This window comes from Homo sapiens, chromosome 4 (assembly GCF_000001405.40).
Source record: "Homo sapiens chromosome 4, GRCh38.p14 Primary Assembly".
Taxonomy (NCBI): domain Eukaryota; kingdom Metazoa; phylum Chordata; class Mammalia; order Primates; family Hominidae; genus Homo; species Homo sapiens.
The window spans coordinates 88,865,166-88,886,327 of record NC_000004.12 but is presented as its reverse complement, the minus strand read 5'-3'; the positions used below and the strand labels follow the sequence as shown (position 1 = coordinate 88,886,327).

Sequence of the window (21,162 nt, the reverse complement as noted above, 5' to 3'; positions counted from 1 at the left end):
TGTGAGCCACCACACCCAGCCACCAAAATTTCTTTATCCACTCGTTGATTGATAGGCATTTGGGCTGGCTCCATATTTTTGCAATTGCAAATTGTGCTGCTATAAACATGCGTGTGGAAGTATTACTTTTGTTTAATGATTTATCTTCCTCTGGGTAGATACCCAGTAGTGGGATTGCTGGATCAAATGGTAGATCTACTTTTAGTGCTTTAAGGAATCTCCACACTGTTTTCCATAGTAGTTGTACTAGTGTTCATTCCCACCAGCAGTGTAAAAGTGTTCCATTTTCACCACATCCATGCCAACGTCTATTTTTTTTTTTTATTTTTTGCTTATGGCCATTCTTGCAGGAGTAAGGTGGTATCACGTTGTGGTTTTGATTTGCATTTCCCTGGTCATTAGTGATGTTGAGCATTTTTTCATATGTTTATTGGCCATTTGTATATCTTCTTTTGAGAATTGTCTATTCATGCCTTTAGCCCACTTTTTGATGGGATTGTGTGATTTTTTTTTTTTTTTGCTAATTTGTTTGGATCCTTGTATATTCTGGATATTAGTCCTTTGTCAGATGTATAGATTACAAAGATTTTCTCCCACTCTGTGGGTTGTCTGCTTACTCTGCTGATTGTTTCTTTTGCTGTGCAGAAGCTTTTTAGTATAATTAGGTCCCATCTATTTATCTTTGTTATTGTTGCATATGCTTTTGGGTTCTTGGACATGAAGTCTTTGCCTAAGCCAATGTCTAGAAGGGGTTTTCCAGTGTCACCTTCTAGAATTTTTGTGGGCTCAGGTCTTAGATTTAAGTTTTTGATCCATCTTGAATTGATTTTTGTAAAAGGTGAGAGATGAGGATCTGGTTTCATTCTTCTACATGTGGCTTGCCAATTATCCCAGCACTATTTGTTGAGTAGGGTGTCCTTTCTCCACTTTATCTTTTAGTTTGCTTCATTGAAGATCCATTGGCTGTATTTGGCATTATTTCTGGGTTCTCTATCCTGTTTCATTGGTCTATGTGCCTATTTTTATACCACTACTATGCTGTTTTGGTGACTATGGCCTTATAGTATAGTTTGAGGTTGGGTAATGTGATGCCTCTAGATTTGTTCTTTTTGCTTAGTTTTGGATTGGCCATTCAGGCTCTTTTTTGGTTCCTTTGGTTCCATATGAATTTTCAGATTTTTTTTTCTGGTTCTGTTAAGAACAATTGGTGGTATTTTGATGGGAATTACATTGAATTTGTAGATTGCTTTTGGCAGTATGGTCATTTTCACAATATTGATTCTACCTATCCAAGAGAAGAGGATGTGTTTCCATTTGTTTGTGCCATCTATGATTTCTTTCAGCAGTGTTTTGTAGTTTTCCTTGTAGAGGTCTTTCACCTCCTTGTTTAGATATATTCCTAAGTATTTGATTTTATTTTTTTACAGCTATTCTAAAAGGGGTTGAGTTCTTGCTTTTATTCTCAGTTTGGTTGCTGTTGGTGTATAGCACAGCTACTGATTTGTGTGCATTAATTTTGTTTCCTGAAACTTTGCTGAATTCATTTATCAGTTCTAGGAGCTTTTTGGAGGACTCTTTAGGGTTCTTAGATATACAATCAGATCATCAGCAAACAGCGACAGTTTGATTCCTCTTCAGCAGTTTGGTTCCGCTTTCTTTCTTTCTCTTGTCTAATTGCTCTGGCTAGGACTTCCAGTACTATGTTGAATAGAAGTGAAGAGAGTGGGATCCTTGTCTTGTTTCAGTTCTTAGGGAGAATGCTTTCAACTTTTCCTCATTCAGTATAATGTTGGCTGTGGGTTTGTCCTAGATGGTTTTATTACGTTAAGGTATGCCTCTTCTATGCCAGTTTTGCTGAGGGTTTTAATAATAAAGCGATGATGGATTTTGTCAAATACTTTTTGTGCCTCTATTGAGCTGATCATGTGATTTCTGGTTTTAATTCTGTTTATGTGGTGTATCACATTTATTGACATGCATATGTTAAGCCATCTCTGCATCCCTGGTGTGAAACCCACTTGATCATAGTGGGTTATCTTTTTGATATGCTGTTGGATTTGGTTAGCTTAAGGATTTTTGCATCTGTGTTCATCAGGGATATTGGTCTGTTGTTTTCTTTTTTTTGTTATGTCCTTTCCTGGTTTTGGTATTAGGGTGATACTGGCTTCATAAAATGATATTGGGAGGATTCCTTCCTTCTCTATCTTGTGGAATAGTGTCAATAGGATTGGTACCAATTCTTCTTTGAATGTCTGACAGAATTCAGCTGTAAATCCATCTTTTCCTGGACTTTTTTTTTGGCAATTTTTAATTAGCATTTCAATCTTGCTGCTTGTTATTCATCTGTGCAGAGTTTCTAGTTCTTCCTAGTATAATCTAGGAGGGTTGTCTGTTTCCAGAAATTTATCCATCTCCTCTTGGTTTTCTAGTTTATGTGTGTAAACGTGTTTATCGTAGCCTTCAATGATCTTTTGTATTTCTGTGGTAATTTCAATTGTAATACCTCTCGTTTCATTTATAATTGAACTTATTTGGATCTTCTCTCTTTTTGTGGTTAGTCTCACTAATGGTCTATCAATTTTATTTATGTTTTGAAAGAACCAGGTTTTTGTTTCATTTATCTTTTGTATTTTTGTTTGTTTCTATTTCATTTAGTTCTGCTCTGATCTTCATTATTTCTTTTCTTCTGCTGGGTTTGAGTTTAGTTTGTTCTTGTTTCTCCAGTTCCTTGAGGTGTGACCTTAGATTGTCTCTTTGTTCTCTTTCAGACTTTTTGATGTAGGCATTTAAGGCTATGAACTTTCCCCTTAGCACCACCTTTGCTGTATTACAGAGGTTTTGATAGGTTGTGTCACTATTATCATTGAGTTCAATGAATTTTTTAATTTCCATCTTGATTTCATTGTTGGCCCAATGATCATTCAGGAGCAGATTGTTAAATTTCCATGTATTTGCATGGTTTTGAAGGTTCTTTTGGAGTTGATTTCCAATTTTATTCCACTGTGGCTTGAGAGCATACTTGATATATTTCAATCTTCTTAAATTTACTGATACTTGTTTTGTGGCTTATCGTGTGGTCTATCTTGGAGAATGTTCCATGTGTTGATGAATAGAATGTATATTCTCTAGTTGTTTAGTAGAATGTTCTGTAAATATCTTTTAAGTCTATTTGTTTTAAGGTATAGTTTAAATCCAGTGTTTCTTTGTTAACTTTCTGTCTTGATGACCTGTCTAGTCCTGTCAGTGGAATATTGAAGTCTCTGACTATTATTGTATTGCTGTCTATCTTATTTCTTAGGTGTAGTAGTAATTATTTTATAAATTTGGGAGCTCCAGTGGTAGATACATTTATATTTAGGATTGTGATATTTTCCTGTTGAACAAGTCCTTTAATCATTATATAATGTCCCTCTGTCTTTTTTAACTGCTATTGCTTTAAAGTTTGTTTTGTCTGATATAAGAATAGCTACTCCTGCTTGTTTTGTTGTCCATTTGCATTAAATATCTTTTTCCAACCCTTTACATTAAGTTTATGTGAGTCTTTATGTGTTAGGTGAGTCTCTTGAAGATAGCAGATAGTTGGTTGGTGAATTCTTATCCATTCTGCCATTGTGTGTATTTTAAGTTGAGCATTTATGCCATTTACATTCAACATTAGTATTGAGATGTGAGGTACTGTTCTATTCATCATGCTGTTTGTTGCCTGAAGACCTTGTTTTTTTTTTTTCCATTGTGTTTTTGTTTTGTAGGTGGTATGAGATTTATGCTTTAAGGAGGTTCTATGTTGGTATATTTTCAAAATTTAGAGCTCCTTTTAGCCTTTCTTGTAGTGCTGGCTTGGTAGTGGTGAATTATCTCAGCATTGTCTGAAAAAGATTGTATTGTCTGAAAAAGACAATACAGCATTGTCTGAAAAAGTCCGTAACTTTCCTTCCTTTATGAAGCTTAGTTTCACTGGATACAAAATTCTTGGCTGATAATTACTTTGTTTAAGCAGTCTAAAGATAAGCCCCAATCCCTTCTAGCTTGTAGGGATTCTGCTGAGAAATCTGCAGTTAATCTGATAGGTTTTCCTTTAGAGGTTAACTAATGCTTTTGCCTCACAGCTCTTAATTTTCTTTCCTTCATCCTGACTTTAGATTACCTTATGATTATGTGCCTAGGTGATGATCTTTTCATGATAAATTTCCCAGATGTTCTTTGAGATTCTTGTATTTGGATATCTAGATCTCTAGCAAGGCCAGGGAAGTTTTCCTCGGTTATTCCCTCAAATATGTTTTCCCAAGTTTTAGATTCATCATCTTCCTCGGGAACAACAATTATGGTTAGGTTTGGTCATTTAACATAATCCCAAAATTATTGAAGTCTTTTTTCATTTTTTTTAAATTCTTTTTTCTTTGTCTCTGTTGGATTGAGTTAATTTGAAAGCCTTTACTTTGACCTCTGAAATTCCTTCTTCTACCTGTTTGATTCTATCGCTGACACGTTCCAGTATATTTTACATTTCTCTAAGTGTGTCCTTCATTTCCAGAAGTTGTGATTGTTTTTTATTTATGCTATCTATTTCACTGAAGATTTTTCCCTTCATATGTTATATCATTTTTTTTGTTTCATTAAGTTAGACTTCACCTTTCTGTAGTGCCTCCTTGATTAGCTTATTAATCAACCTTCTGAATTCTTTTTCTGGCAATTCAGAGATTTCTTCTTGTTTTGGATCAATTCCTGGTGAGCTAGCATGATCTCTTGGGGGTGTTAAAGAACCTCGTGTTGTTATATTACCAGAATTGTTTTTCTGTTTCCTTCTCATTTGGGTAGACTATGTCAGAGGGAAGATCTGGAGCTCAAGGTCAGCTGTTTATATGCTTTTTTCCCATGGGGTGTTCCCTTGATGTGGTGCTCTCCCCCTTCCCCTAAGGATGTGGCTTTCTGAGAGCTGAACTGCTGTGATTGTTACTCCTTTTCTGGATCTAGCCACCCAGTGGAGCTACCAAGCTCCAGGCTAGTACTGGGAGTGTCTGCACAGAGTCCTGTGATGTGAACTGTTTTTAGGTCTCTCAGACATGGATACGAGCCCCCACTTAAGTGAAAGTAGCAGGAGAGTGAAGTGAGCTCTGTGAGAGTCCTTAGTTGTAGTTTTGTTTATTGGGCTAGTTTTATTTGGTTGGCTTCCAGCCAGGAGGTGGCAGTTTCAAGAGAGCATTAGCTGTGGCAGTATAGGGAGGATTAGGCGGTGGGCAGCGCCATAGAGCTCCCAAGAAATTATGTCCATTGTCTTCAGCTACCAGGGCTGGTGGAGAAAGACCATCAGGTGGGGGCAGGGTTAGGCTCAGACTCTTCTTGGGCGGGACTTGCTGTGGCTGCTGTCGGGGATAGGGGCATGGTTCTCAGGCCAATGGAGTTATGTTCCTAGGGGAATTATGGCTGCCTCTGCTGCCTCATTCAGGTCCCCAAGGGAGTGGGGAAAAGCCAGCAGTTACAGGCCTCACTCACCTCCCACGCAGCCCAAAAGGCCAGTCTCACTCCCACTGTGCCCCCCCCCCCCCCGCCCCCCACCGCACCACCCGCAACAGCTCTGAGTTTATTTCCAGGCAGCTGCTAAACAGGGCTGAGAATTTGCCCCAGGCTGCCAGCCTCCCGGCTGAGAAAGCAAGCAGGGCTTTCATGGTTTGCACCTCCCCACCTGCCATGGCTTCTGTGCTGTGTCTGCACTCCTGATTCCAATGCCCCCTTCCTCAGATTCTGTCCAGGAAACTCTGCGTTCGGTGGAAATTGTTGTGAAGTTCAGCTAGAAGGTTCCTTCTCCCTGTGGTTTTTTTTCCCAGTTCCTTTGGCAGTCCTGCCCAAGGACCCCTATGAGACAAAGTCAGAAATGGCTTCCCTGTGGACCAAGAGTGCCCACAGAGCTCTTCCTGCTGCTTCCTCTACTCTGATATTTCGCTTGGCTCTCTAAATTTGTCTCAGCTCCAGGTAAGGTCAAACCTTCTCCTGTCATCTGGACCTTCAGGTTTCCCAGTGAGGGTGTGTGTTCGGGGCTGGACGGTTCGCCTTTCACACTTTCACACTTTGGGCTCTCAGAATTTTTCAGCTGTCTCCTGGAGCCTACAGCAGCAATCCACTTCCTTCAAAGGGTCTGTGGCTTCTCTTGGCTTTCCTGCTATGTCCCTGTGGTAGTTCTAGGAGCAAAAGTTCACAGTGTGAGTCTCCACATGCTGCTCTCTCCTTCTAAGTCGGAGCTTCCCTTGGATTTTATATTTTCAGTATTCTAATTTATTAGAGAGGAATAATAATATATAATAATAATATAGGTAGGTGTGACTTAAGTATTTACTCTATGCTAAACACTGAAAAATACTTCTCATATTACTTCATTAAATGCTCACAACACTATAGAATAAAAATTCAGCCTGAATAGTCTTGGTTATACTTCAGTAATAAACAATCCCATTATCTTAATGGCTTAAGACAACATTTTTTTTTCTTGCTCATGCTGCCTGCCCAATTTAGATTAACAGGGAGACTCTGCTCTTGCTGGTCACTCAGGCACCTGGCCTGACAGAGCAGCCCCTCGCAAATGTAACCAGTTATTGTACCCAAGGAAAAGGAAAGAGTTCTGTAGGACCTTGCAGTAACAATGAAATGCTCTGGTGGTCCAGAAGTAACTCCATTCCTTCTGCTCAGAACCCATTGGCCAGAGCTAATCACATGCCGCACCTCCATCCCCAGGCCCACAATCAGACAGTGAGTACAACCCTAGGATGTGCCTAGAAGGAAGGATGGCTTTACCAGTATTTGGTGAACAGCAGTAACATTCTACCATATTTTCCTTCTTCTTTTTTTTTTAATAGGTAAGAAAGCAGGCTTAGAGAGACTAGTTAACTTAACCAAGATTGTGCATATAATACATATCAGATATATTTGATGCTAAAGCATGAACTCTTTACCCTTATATTACTTCCCACTTTTCTAGTCTTATATGCTATAGCATGTTATACTACCTGCTTTGCAGAGTTTTTGTGAGAATCAAAGATACTAATAATAGATGTAAATAATTGGGTGTACTGCCTGGAACTTAGTAAGCATCTAGGGATTAGTGAAAGGGTCTTTTTTGTTCTTACCTCTTAACCTGTGTCTCACAGCGTTTCTTAAGTGCTAAAGCTCTATATTGCTTTTATAGTGGCTGTATTAATTGTTCTCCATCATGACAGCAGCTATTCTCAGCTACCAATATTAGATGTGTTTTATATATAAAGGTGTCTGATTGCACACAACTTATTCCCAACATTCATTCTAAAGACCGTTTTATATATCAACCATGCTGTTTAGAATATAGTTTCCTATCAGGCCAGCCTACCAAACTCACAAAGTAATTAGCTAAATAGACTTTAGTAGGATATCCTAGGAATCTAACACCTTACCTACAATGTGGATATTGCTGTGGAAAATTACATGTTGAGTTTCATACTATCAGGCTCCATAAGTTTGTACTTTGTGCTCATTGTGATAACAGATGTTTATTCAGTCCCCTACACTATTAGGTGCAGATGTCCAGTCTACTGGGGACTCTTGTACCCAGAATTTATGGGCCTTAAATTGCCTATAAATGCTAGAGAAGATTCTTAAGGCAATCACTAAATATTGTGTTAATTCTCACAATCCTAAATTATTAGCTGTACCTAGTAATTATATTGAAAACCAATATTGAGAATGTTCAAGTTTACTTTTATGCCAAGTGTTAATGGAATGAATTTTAAATAAGAAAACAAAGTTCTATTTGTAGAATATAGTTTTTTGACTCCTTTAAATTGATTTATTAAAATAACTGTATTTTCTAATTTTAGACATGATAAGCAGAAAATAAACAGGCTCATTAATCCATGTCTAGAAGAGGAAAAAAATGCATTACCAGTATAGTGCTCTCAATGACTTTAATTCCTATTTCTAAATTAAAGAAATTAATGCTTTGATAAACAATCCTTTTACAGAAATAGAATCTCAAAAAGTACCAAATTTCTTTTTTTTTTTTTTTTTTTTTTTTTTTTTGAGATGGAGTCTCACTCTGTCGCCCAGGCTGGAGTGCAGTGGCGCAATCTCGGCTCACTGCAAGCTCCGCCTCCCGGGTTCACACCATTCTCCTGCCTCAGCCTCCTGTAGCTGGGACTACAGGCACCCGCCACCACGCCTGGCTAATTTTTTGTATTTTTTAGTAGAGACGGGGTTTCACCGTGTTAGCCAGGATGGTCTTGATTTCCTGACCTCGTGATCCGCCCGCCTCGGCCCTTCCAATGTGCTGGGATTACAGGCGTGAGCCACCGCGCCCAGCCAAAAAGTACCAAATTTCTTTAACTATAATGTTTTACTCCCCAGGAGGGAGTGTGTCAGAAAATGTTCACAAAGAGAAAGAATTTGTTCATTTCACTAAATAAACTCAGAATGAGCACCACCATTGATCCCACTGCGAGGGGCCTTGTTAAGGGCTATGTACAATATAAGAGGTGGGAAGTAGAAGATTCAAGGAGAAAGTTGAGGTAGACTGAGGACTTTGAATAGGAGATTGGTACTCATAAATTTAAATCTTATTAGAAAACAATGGGGAGCTACTAAAGATATTTTAGTTAACTTTTCTTCATTATAGATGTGAAATAGCATTGCAACAAAGCAAAAACCAAAAATAGACAGTAGAGGAAAGAAACAAAGAGCCAACCTGCCTTTCTCTGCCACTATTAATTACTCTTAGCATTTTGATGTATGATATTTTACCTCTTTTCCTACACCTATGTGAATATATTTAAGAAAGATATATTCAAATTTTGCAAGCATTTTGTTTTCTGTTTTTTCCCCTTAACATATTGTTATAAGGACTTTCTACAATAATTCAGGCTTCATAATAATAATGATGGTCATTCCCAGACTGCTGTATTTCAGATGTTTTTAGTGTTACAATGTTATTCAGTATGATAAATACTGTTTGGTCAAACAATTTTGGCATAAGATTCATTTCTTAGAATTATTTCCTCAGGTTAGATTGCCAGATTCAGTAGTTCAAAGGTTATAAACATATTTATGGTGTTTAAACCTATCAGTAAATTAAATTTTTGCTAAAGAATTACAAAAATTTACTCTGCCACTAAAAAACATAACGGTATCAGTTGCATACATCAGACTCAGTATTAGGCATTATAATTAAAACTTGTATATGAGCAAAAGCACCAAAAAGAAGACCCTGTTCTGAATTTATAACTTTATTGATAATGAAATTCTGCGTATTTCCATATGTAAGCTTACAATTTATATTTTCTATTTTGTGAAATATTTTCCAGTTCAATGTATTTTTCCCATTTAGTTCTCAATCATAATCTCAGTGTTCTCACTTAAGTAGCTATGTGAATTAATTATATTTTAAAAATATTGGCAGTGATTGTTAATAAAGAAGTGACGCGGTCTGGGCGCGGTGGCTCACGCCTGTAATCCCAGCACTTTGGGAGGCTGAGGCGGGTGGATCACGAGGTCAGGAAATCGAGACCATCCTGGCTAACATGGTGAAACCCCATCTCTACTAAAAATACAAAAAATTAGCTGGGCGTGGTGGCAGGCACCTGTAGTCCCAGCTACTTGGGAGGCCGAGGCAGGAGAATGGCATGAACTCGGGAGGCAGAGCTTGCAGTGAGCCGAGATTGAGCCACTGCACTCCAGCCTCGGCGACAGAGCGAGACTCTGTCTCAAAAAAAAAAGAAGTGATGTGACCAGGGGGTAGGTGTATATTAAGAAGACAAATCTGACTATGATCCTATAGAATGGATTTTAGAACAGAATGACCAATAAGAAAAAAATTCTGTTTTACATCGTTTTTTATTATTATGTTAGTCTGATATTGGGCAGAGTTGCTTTTTATTCCTCCATTTCACTGATACTACAGAGTGGTGATAGTGTACTTTTCACAAACTATCTTCTTCTCCAGTTAAAATTTTGGTCATTGCTGTTCATTTTTTTTCTTTTTGCTTTTAAGCTTGCATTAGAATGCAATTCTTTTTTTATTATTATTATACTTTTAAGTTCTAGGGTACATGTGCACAATGTGCAGGTTGGTTACATATGTATACATGTGCCATGTTTGTGTGCTGCACCCATTAACTCGTCATTTGCATTAGGTATTTCTCCTAATGCTATCCCTCCCCCAGCCCCCCATCCCAGGACAGGCCCTGGTGTGGGATGTTCCCCACCCTGTGTCCAAGTGTTCTCATTGTTCAGTTCTTACCTATGAGTGAGAACATGCGGTGTTTGGTTTTCTGTCCTTGCGATAGTTTGCTGAGAATGATGGTTTCCAGCTTCATCCGTGTCCCTAGAAAGGACATGAATTCATCCTTTTTTGTGGCTGCATAGTATTCCATGGTGTATATGTGCCACATTTTCTTAATCCAGTCTATCATTGTTGGACATTTGGGTTGGTTTCAAGTCTTTGCTATTGTGAATAGTGCCGCAATAAACATACGTGTGCAAGTATCTTTATAGTAGCATGATTTATAATCCTTTGGGTATATATCCAATAATGAGATCACGGGGTCGAATGGTATTTCTAGTTCTAGATCCTTGAGGAATCACCACACTGTCTTCCACAATGGCTGAACTAGTTTACAGTCCCACCAACAGTGTAAAAGTGTTCCTATTTCTCCACATTCTCTCCAGCACCTGTTGTTTCCTGACTTTTTAATGATCGCCATTTTAACTGGTGTGAGATGGTATCTCATTGTGGTTTTGATTTGCATTTCTCTGATGACCAGTGATGATGAGCATTTTTTCATCTGTCTGTTGGCTGCATAAATCTCTTCTTTTGAGAAGTGTCTGTTATAACCTTTGCCCACTTTTTGATGGGGTTGTTTGATTTATTCTTGTAAATTTGTTTAAGTTCTTTGTAGATTCTGGATATTAGCCCTTTGTCAGATGGGTAGATTGCAAAAATTTTCTCCCATTCTGTAGGTTGCCTGTTCACTCTGATGATAGTTTCTTTTGCTTTGCAGAAGCTCTTTAGTTTAACTAGATCCCATTTGTCTATTTCGGCTTTTGTGGCCATTGCTTTTGGTGTTTTATCCATGAAGTCTTTGCCCATGCCTATGTCCTGAATGGTATTGCCTAGGTTTTCTTCTAGGGTTTTTATGGTTTTAGGTCTAACATTTAAGTCTTTAATCCATCTTGAATTAATTTTTGTATAAGATGTAAGGAAGGGATCCAGTTTCAGCTTTCTACATATGGCTAGCCAGTTTTCCCAGCACCATTTATTAAATAGGGAATCCTTTCCCCATTTCTTGTTTTTGTCAGGTTTGTCAAAGATCATATGCTTGTAGATGTGTGGTGTTATTTCTGAGGCCTCTGTTCTGTTCCATTGATCTATATCTCTGTTTTGGTACCAGTACCATGCTGTTTTGGTTACTGTAGCCTTGTAGTATAGTTTGAAGTCAGGTAGCGTGATGCCTCCAGCTTTGTTCGTTTTGCTTAGGATTGTCTTGGCAATGCAGGCTCTTTCTTGGTTCCATATGAACTTTAAAGTAGTTTTTTCCAATTCTGTGAAGAAAGTCATTGGTAGCTTGATGGGGATGGCATTGAATCTATAAATTACCTTGGGCGGTATGGCCATTTTCACAATATTGATTCTTCCTATGCATGAGCATGGAATGTTCTTCCATTTGTTTGTGTCTTCTTTTATTTCATTCAGCAGTGATTTGTAGTTCTCCTTGAAAAGGTCCTTCACGTCCCTTGTCAGTTGGATTCCTAGGTATTTTATTCTCTTTGAAGCAATTGTGAATGGGAGTTCACTCATGATTTGGCTCTCTGTTTGCCTGTTATTGGTATATAGGAATGCTTGTGATTTTTGCACATTGATTTTGTATCCAGAGACTTTGCTGAAGTTGCTTATCAGCTTAAGGAGATTTTGGGCTGAGACGATGGGGTTTTCTAAATATACAATCATGTCATCTGCAAACAGAGACACTTTGACTTCCTCTTTTCCTAATTGAATACTCTTTATTTTTTTCTCTTGCCTGATTTCCCTGGCCAGAACTTCCAACCCTATATTGAATAGGAGTGGTGAGAGAGGGCATCCCTGTCTTGTGCCAGTTTTCAAAGGGAATGCTTCCAGATTTTGCCCATTCAGTATGATATTGGCTGTGGGTTTGTCATAAATAGCTCTTATTATTTTGAGATATGTTCCATCAGTACCTAGTTTATTGAGAGTTTTTCAGCATGAAGCAGTGTTGAATTTTGTCGAAGGCCTTTTCTGCATCTATTGAGATAATCATGTGGTTTTGTCTTTGGTTCTGTTTATGTGATGGATTACGTCTATTGATTTGCGTGTGTTGAACCAGCCTTGCATCCCAGGGATGAAGCCAACTTGATCTTGGTGGATAAGCTTTTTGATGTGCTGCTGGATTCGGTTTGCCAGTATTTTATTGAGGATTTTTGCATCAATGTTCATCAAGGATATTGGTCTAAAATTCTCTTTTTTGTTGTTGTGTCTCTGCCAGGCTTTGGTATCAGGATGATGCTGGCCTCATAAAATGAGTTAGGGAGGATTCCCTCTTTTTCTATTGGAATAGTTTCAGAAGGAATGGTACCAGCTCCTCTTTGTACCTCTGGAAGAATTCGGCTGTGAATCCATCTGGTCCTGGACTTTTTTTGGTTGGTAGGCTATTAATTATTGCCTCAATTTCAGAGGCTGTTATTGGTCTATTCAGCGATTCAACTTCTTCCTGGGTTAGTCTTGGGAGGCTGTATGTGTCCAAGAATTTATCCATTTCTTCTAGATTTTCTAGTTTATTTGCCTAGAGGTATTTATAGTATTCTCTGATGGTAGTTTGTATTTCTGTGGGATCGGTGGTGATATCCCCTTTATCATTTTTTGTTGCATCTATTTGATTCTTCTCTCTTTTCTTCCTTATTAGTCTTGCTAGCAGTCTATCAATTTTGTTGATCCTTTCAAAAAACCAGCTCCTGGATTCATTAATTTTTTGAAGGGTTTTTTTGTGTCTCTATTTCCTTCAGTTCTGCTCTGATTTTAGTTATTTCTTGCCTTCTGCTAGCTTTTGAATGTGTTTGCTCTTGCTTCTCTAGTTCTTTTAATTGTGATGTTAGGGTGTCAATTTTAGATCTTTCCTGCTTTCTCTTATGGGCATTTAGTGCTATAAATTTCCCTCTACACACTGCTTTAAATGTGTCCCAGAGATTCTGGTATGTTGTGTCTTTGTTCTCATTGGTTTCAAAGAACATCTTTATTTCCTCCCTCATTTCATTATTTACCCAGTAGTCATTCAGGAGCAAGTTATTCAGTTTCCATATAGGAGTGTGGTTGTGAGTGAGTTTTTAAATCCTGAGTTCTAATTTGATTGCACTGTGGTTTGAGAGACAGTTTGTTATAATTTCTGTTATTTTACATTTGCTGAGGAGTGCTTTACTTCCAACTATGTGGTCAATTTTTGAATATGTGTGATGTGGTGCTGAGAAGAATGTATATTCTGTTGATTTGAGGTGGAGAGTTCTGTAGATGTCTATTAGGTCTGCTAAGCTGCAGAGCTGAGTTCAAGTCCTGGATATCCTTTTTAATCTTCTGTCTCGTTGATCTGTCTAATATTGACAGTGGGTTGTTAAAACTCTCCCATTATTATTGTGTGGGGGTCTACATCTCTTTGCAGGTGTCTAAGGACTTGCTTTGTGAATCTGGGTGCTCCTGTATTGGGAGCATTTATATTTAGGATAGTTAGCTCTTCTTGTTGAATTGATCCCTTTACCATTATGTAATGGCCTTCTTTGTCTCTTTTGATCTTTGTTGGTTTAAAGTCTGTTTTATCAGAGACTAGGATTGCAACCCCTGCTTTTATTGGCTTTCCATTTGCTTGGTAGATCTTCCTCCATCCCTTTATTTTGAGCCTATGTATGTCTCTGCACGTGAGATGGGTCTACTGAATACAGCACACTGATGGGTCTTGACTCTTTATCCAATCTGTGTCTTTTAATTGGGGCATTTAGCTTATTTACATTTAAGGTTAATATTGTTATGTGTGAATTTGATCCTGTCATTATGATGTTAGCTGGTTATTTTGCCCGTTGGTTGATGCAGTTTCTCCTAGCATCAATGGTGTTTACAATTCGTCATATTTTTGCAGTGGCTGGTACTGGTTGTTCCTTTCCATGTTTAGTGCTTCCTTCAGGAGCTCTTGTAAGGCAGGCCTGGTGGTGACAAAATCTCTCAGCCTTTGCTTGTCTGTAGAGTATTTTATTTCTCTTTCACTTGTGAAGCTTAGTTTGGCTGGATATGAAATTCTGGGTTGAAAATTCTTTTCGTTAAGAATGTTGAATATTGGCCCCCACTCTCTTCTGGCTTGTAGAGTTTCTGCCGAGAGATCCGCTGTTAGTCTGATGGGCTTCCCTTTGTGGGTAACCCGACCTTTCTCTCTGGCTGCCCTTAACATTTTTTCATTCATTTCAACCTTGGTGAATCTGACAATTATGTGTCTTGGGGTTGCTTTTCTTGAGGAGTATCTTTGTGGTATTCTCTGTATTTCCTGAATTTGAATGTTGGCCTGCCTTGCTAAGTTGGGGAATTCTCCTGGATAATATCCTGCAGAGTGTTTTCCAACTTGGTTCCATTCTCCCCATCACTTTCAGATACACCAATCAAACGTAGATTTGGTCTTTTCACATAGTCTCATATTTCTTGGATGCTTTGTTTGTTTCTTTTTACTCTTTTTTCTCTAAACTTCTCTTCTCGCTTCATTTCATTCATTTGATCTTCCATCACTGATACCCTTTCTTCCAGTTGATCGAATCGGCTACTGAAGCTTGTGCATGCATCACATAGTTCTTGTGCCATGGTTTTCAGCTCCATCAGGTCCTTTAAGGTCTTCTCTACACTGTGTATTCTAGTTAGCCATTCATCTCATCTGTATTCAAGGTTTTTAGCTTCCTTACGATGGCTTCAAACATCCTCCTTTAGCTCGAAGAAGTTTGTTATTACTGACCTTCTGAAGCCTACTTCTGTCAATTCATCAAAGTCATTCTCCATCCAGCTTTGTTTCTTTGCTGCCAAGGAGCTGTGATCTTTTGGAGAAGAGGCACTCTGGTTTTTAGAATGTCCAGCTTTTCTGCTCTGTTTTCTCCCCATCTTTGTGGTTTTATCTACCTTTGGTCTTTAATGATGGTGACCTGTAAATGGGGTTTTGGTGTGGATGTCCTTATTGTTGATGTTGATGCTATTCCTTTCTGTTTGTTAGTTTTCCTTCTAACAGTCAGGTCCCTCAGCTGCAGGTCTGTTGGAGTTTGCTGGAGGTCCACTCCAGACCTGTTTGCCTAGGTATCACCAGCAAAGGCTGCAGAACAGCAAATATTGCAGAACAGCAAATGTTGCTGCCTGATCCTTCCTCTGGAAGCTTCATCTCAGAGGGGCACCTGGCTGGTATGAGGTGTCAGTTGCCCCCTACTGGGAGGTGTCTCCCAGTTAGGCTACACAGAGTTCTGGGACCCACTTGAGGAGGCAGTCTGTCTGCTCTCAGAGCTCAAACACCGTGCTGGAAGAATCACTGCTGTCTTCAGAGCTGTCAGACAGGGACGTTTAAGTCTGCAGAAGTTTCTGCTGCCTTTTGTTCAGCTGTGTCCTGCTCCCAGAGGTAGAGTCTGCAGAGGCAGGCTGCGGTAGGCTCCAACCAGTTCGAGCTTCCTGGCCGCTTTGTTTACCTACTCAAGCCTCAGTGATGGCAGATGCCCCTCCCCCAGCCAGGCTTTCACCTTGCAGTTCAATCTCAGACACTGCACTAGCAATGAGCAAGGCTCTGTGGGCGCGGGACCCCCCCCAAGCCAGGCGCGGGGTATAATCTCCTGGTGTGCCATTTGCTAAGACTGTTGGAAAATTGCAGTATTAGGGCAGGAGTGACCCAATTTTCCAGGTACAGTCTGTCACAGCTTTTCTTGGATAGGAAAGGGAAATCCCCTGACCCCTTGCACTTCCCGGGTGAGGCGATGCCCTGCCCTGCTTCAGCTCGCCCTCCGTGGGCTGCACCCACTGTCCAACCAGTCCCAGTGAGATGAACCAGGTACCTCAGTTGGAAATGCAGAAATCACCCATCTTCTGCATCGATCACGCTGGGAGCTGCAGACCGGAGCTGTTCCTATTCAGCCATCTTGTTTTCACTCTTAGAATGCCCATTGCTGTTCATTTTTTTTTTTTTTACAACAGAAATGTTTAGTTACTTTAAGGAAAAAGGAAGCACAGAGAAATAATGTGCTTTAGATCAAAGGCTCAGAGTAGTAACAAGTTGAATTTAAATTGTCAAAGTCTCAGTTTAGAATTAATCTTGGATTTTGAAAGCTGACATAATTAGAGAGAATATAAATTATATAAATTATGAGTATTTTGTGATTGGTCCTATTTCATCTGGGCACATATTGATTTTGCTTGCATGTTCTGAATAATTCACCATGTTAGTCCTTTCGTCTTTTCATGCAGTCATGTCTGTTTTGATGATCTCTTTGTCATATCAGGCATTTAGCCTGAATTATTTTTTTCAGAATACATAATTGTCTATCACATGCCAGGTATTGAACTAGAATCCAAGAATTCAGATATTGAAGTTGATAGTTGATAGTTGAAGTTGATACATGGAATCTTCAGACTAGCAAGCAATATAAACTAACATTCAAGTGTTTAGTTAGTAATTGTGTAAATTGCTTAGAAGGAAAATAAAGTGCCCTGAGAGTATATAACAAGGGTGCCTGATTTAAGCTGATACATCAGGGAAGACCTCTTGAAGGAATCTACCTTTCTTTTGAGACCAAAGCACATGAGAGTAGTGAGGAATGGTAATATGCACATTTCCGATATTGTCACAGCATGTGATAAGGCCCTGGGGCTGGATAACTGAAGGGAGGCCACTGCAGGAGGCTGAAGCCCAGTGAAAGAAGCAGAAGTACCTGCCTCCACAAAGGCTGGAGAAAGCCTGCCAAGAGTTTGAGAACATCTCCAAAATGAAATGAAAAACCATTGACAAGTTTTAAACAGGGACAACTGTAATTAAATTTCTGCTTAAAAATATAAATCTGGCTTCTGTATGGTGAATATAATCAGAAGAAGGCAAAAGTGGAAGTGAGAAAACCAATTAGGAAGCAATTAGAGTTGTCCAGGCAATGATATATGAAAGGCTGGAATGGATGAAGACAAAGTAGACTTATTTGAGATAAAGATGACTCTCAGGTTCCTGGTATGGGTAACTAGCTGATTGGAGACCATATAGTCTAATGGTTTGAGTCCTAGCCCTGCTGTGTGCTCCATAACTTCTTTGTGCTTTAGTTTTACCATCTTCCAAATGAAGATGCTGATTGAAGATCATGATTGAATATACATTTGGAACTCAGAAGAGATGTCTGGACAAAGATAAAAATTAAGAATTATTGGTGTATGGATGGAATTTGGTGCATAAATGAGGGAGCATAATCATCTCTGTAGTATAATTAACAAACTAAGGAGGAAGGTGATTACTGCTATGCCTGAGTTGACGTCATAGAGAGATTATATATGTATTGACTAGCCAATATAGAGCTTAAGTGTTGTAAAAGAGTACAAAGGGAGGGAGGCATGTGAGAGAAAGTGCATGTTTATAGACATGTATAAATCTTGGTTTACAGGGTGCGGTGTGTCTAGGAAAACAGCAGGCAATGAACCTGCGGAAATAGTCTGGGGCCATTAATGTGAGACCAAAGAGTATGGATTATAGACTATAGGAGGTGAAAAGCCACTGAACAGTTTTAATCTGGAGATAAGATCAGATCACCCCTGGCAAGAGGGAGAGTGGATTGAAAGGGAGACTAGTTAGGAAGCTATAATCCAAATGAGAAGTGGGAAGGGCCCAAACTAAAGTGATAGGTAGGGAAGGAAAGTAAACAGATAAAAGCTGGACTTGGTAAGTGGCAAGGAAACATAGAGGGATGACTTCCAGATCCAAGTGGGTGGATGGTTCGTGCCTTCATCAAGGAGAGAACCAAAGGAAAAGGCACTTACTCGATGACTGGGAAGAGGATAAGTTTTTGGGGGCATGGAGTCTGTGAGATTTTAAGATAATGTTGGGGCCTCCGCTCATGAAGTGCTAAGACCAGCATGAAAAATTTTTGTTTGGGTATTCATTATAGAGTTTGACAAGGCAGATAAAGCACAGCAGCATATTTATTGATTAGAAATTAGCAAAAATGAAAAACTGCCTGCAGATCATCTTTTTTTTCAAGATCAGAAAACAGAGGCAAGTTTAGTATTGATATTTTAACATCCTTGGCAAAATCAATCTTAACTTCTCTGTTTGGAAACTTTAGAAGTGAGTTTCAGTACAATAAAATGTAATTATTTTCCTTGAAGTTTCAAAAAGCATTTATAGTTTTTAATAACATTTCCATTGCGTGTTGCCCTTTGAGCCACCACTTTTCTTTTCAATTAACTGTTGTTGTTAGTTTTTCTCCCCCTACATACCCATATCCTAAAGTTGGTATCTACCATTTCCCTAAATGTTTTTATATTTCTATCACATGTGCACATATCCCTGAAATTATATATAAATTTGTTGAAGTATCATGCTGTACATATCCTTCTCCAACTTGCTTCATTCACCTCAGTGTTTTTTTAAGATAGATCTATGTTGAAACATGCAAAATATAGTACAGTAGTCCTCATTATTTGTGTCTTCTATATTTGTGAATTTGCCTACGCGCTCAAATGTACTGGTAACCCCAAAGTCAATACTTAACAGTCCTTTTGCAGTCATTTGTGAACATGCCAGGAGGCAAAAAATACACGTAATGAGAAATGCATATTCTCAGCCAAGGTCAAATAAGGTGATGACCCTCCTTCTTGACAGCTGTCATCCTGTAAACAGGTGTCCTTTTCGTGTTCTATTTAGTCATGTTTTTTTACATGTTGTGCTTTCTGTTCATAATTTCCCTCTTTAAAATGGTTCCCAAGTGTATGCTGAAGGGCTGTCTAATGTTTCTAAAGCACAAGAAGGCTGTGATGTGACTTCCGGAGGATAAGTGGAGGACAGGTGTTTAAGATAAGCTTTGTTCAGGCATGAGTTACAGCACTGTTAGTTGTGAGTTTGGTGTTAATAAACCAACAAGTATATTAAATAAGGTGTATTTAAACACAGAAAGACACACAAAACAACATTATGTCTTGATCATTTGAGAAAAATGTGACCAGAGGCTCACAGGAACCTGTATTTCCTCTAGGGGCAATGATTCGGTATTTACTAATTCAGTGTTCATGGCAACTTTATAGAACATAACTACCACACATAATGAGAATCTACTGTATATTTACCTAACTGCTTTATGATATTATCTTCTATGACTATGCCACATGTATGTACCCTTTGCCCATATTTAGATTATGTTCAATTTTTAATTTAAAAAGTTTAAAAAATTATATTAACATTTCATCAGGGTATGTAGGTAGGAGTGAAATATTAAAGTCTCCACACATTTTCAGGAAGAGTGTATGTCGCCATATTTCTCTCTAAAACATTCTATTTAATGGTATTTTCACTAATAAAGTATAGAGGTTCCAACTGCTCTACAAACTATCAAGCATAGGGCACTATCAACCTTAAATATTTACCTACATGATAGATGTGGATTGGTATTTCCTTGATTGGAATATAAAATGTTCCTGATTTCCATTGGAATTGAGGATTTTTTTTTGTATTCTGGACTGTGCATATTTGAAAAGTTAATTATGTAGATACAGTTGGGTCAGATCTAATAATTTAAAATAAATAGCAAATTTTATGTGCAAGGTTGGCCCTTTGATGATTGCAAAAATAGAAGCAAAAGTGCCGGGCACAGTCACTCACGCCTATAATCCCAGAACTTTGGGAGGTCAAGGCAGGCTGAACTTGAGGTCAGGAGTTCTAGACCAGCCTGGCCAACATGGCAAAACCCTGTCTCTACTAAAAATACAAAAATTAGGCCGGGCGCAGTGCCTCACGCCTGTAATCCCAGCACTTTGGGAGGCTGAGATGGGGAGATCACAAGGTCAGGAGTTCAAGACCAGCCTGGCCAAAGTGGCAAAACCGCGTCTCTACTAAAAATACAAAAATTAGCTGGGCCATGGTGGCAGGCGCCTGTAATCCCAGCTACTCGGGAGGCTGAGGCAGGAGAACGCTTGAACCCAGGTGGCAGAGGTTTCAGTAAGCCAAGATCATGCCATTACACTCCAGCCAGGGGGATAAGAGCAAGATTCCATCTCAAAAAATGTATATATATATACAAAAATTAGTGGAACATGGTGGCTCGTGCCTGTAATCCCAGCTACTTGGGAGGCTGAGGCATGAAAATCGCTTGAACCCAGGAGGCAGACTGTGCCACTGCACTCCAGCCTAGGCAACAGAGTGAGACTCTGTCTCAAAAAAAAAAAAAAAAAAAAAAAAAAAAAGAGAGAGACAAAGGAAAAAGTTGAAAGAAATGAATGATGTTAGAATTTGGGTGAGCACAAAGTGGCCCACAGGCCAAATCCCGCGTACCATCTATTTTTGTCAGTAGTTTTGTAGGAACACAGCCGTGCCCATTTGTTTATATATTGTCTGTGGCTGCTTTCATGCTGTCCACGGCAGAGCTGAGTAGTTGCAAAAGTGACTGTGTAATCCATGAACCCTAAATATTTACTATCTGGCCCTTTACGGAAAAAGTTTGCCAGCTCCTAATGTAGGAGCATAATTGCTGTAGATTGATGTAAACATCTGAGTTTTTATCATCACTATTCAATATCATGATTTGCTGTTACCGTTACTAGGCACTAAAACTCAGAACTTACATGGTTGAAATTATTTTGTATTCTTTTGGGCCTATTTTACAACTATATTGTCATTTTAAAACTTACGTATTAGCTATAAGGTATAAACTATTTACTGTCTGCAAGCAGATGAATTTATTTTACTTCAAAATTATATTCCTGATTGTTTAATATTTTGCTTTTTTAAATAATTGTGCCTAACTGACCAACACTATGCTTAAAATTCCTTTAATTAAGAAATCACACTGGTTCTTCCTTTACATTTCCATCTAATGAGTCACTTTTAGAGTGAATCATTTCTCAATATGGCTTTTCCTGAGATATAGGCTAAGGCAAAAATAATAACAGACAATGTA

At 38.8% G+C, this 21,162-nt stretch overlaps 1 protein-coding gene across 18 annotated transcripts in view; it reads left to right on the top strand.

Moving 5' to 3' along the window:
• FAM13A (family with sequence similarity 13 member A) overlaps positions 1-21,162 on the top strand; it is a 331,226-nt gene that overhangs the window by 170,858 nt on the left and 139,206 nt on the right. The gene's annotated exons all lie outside the window — the stretch shown is intronic.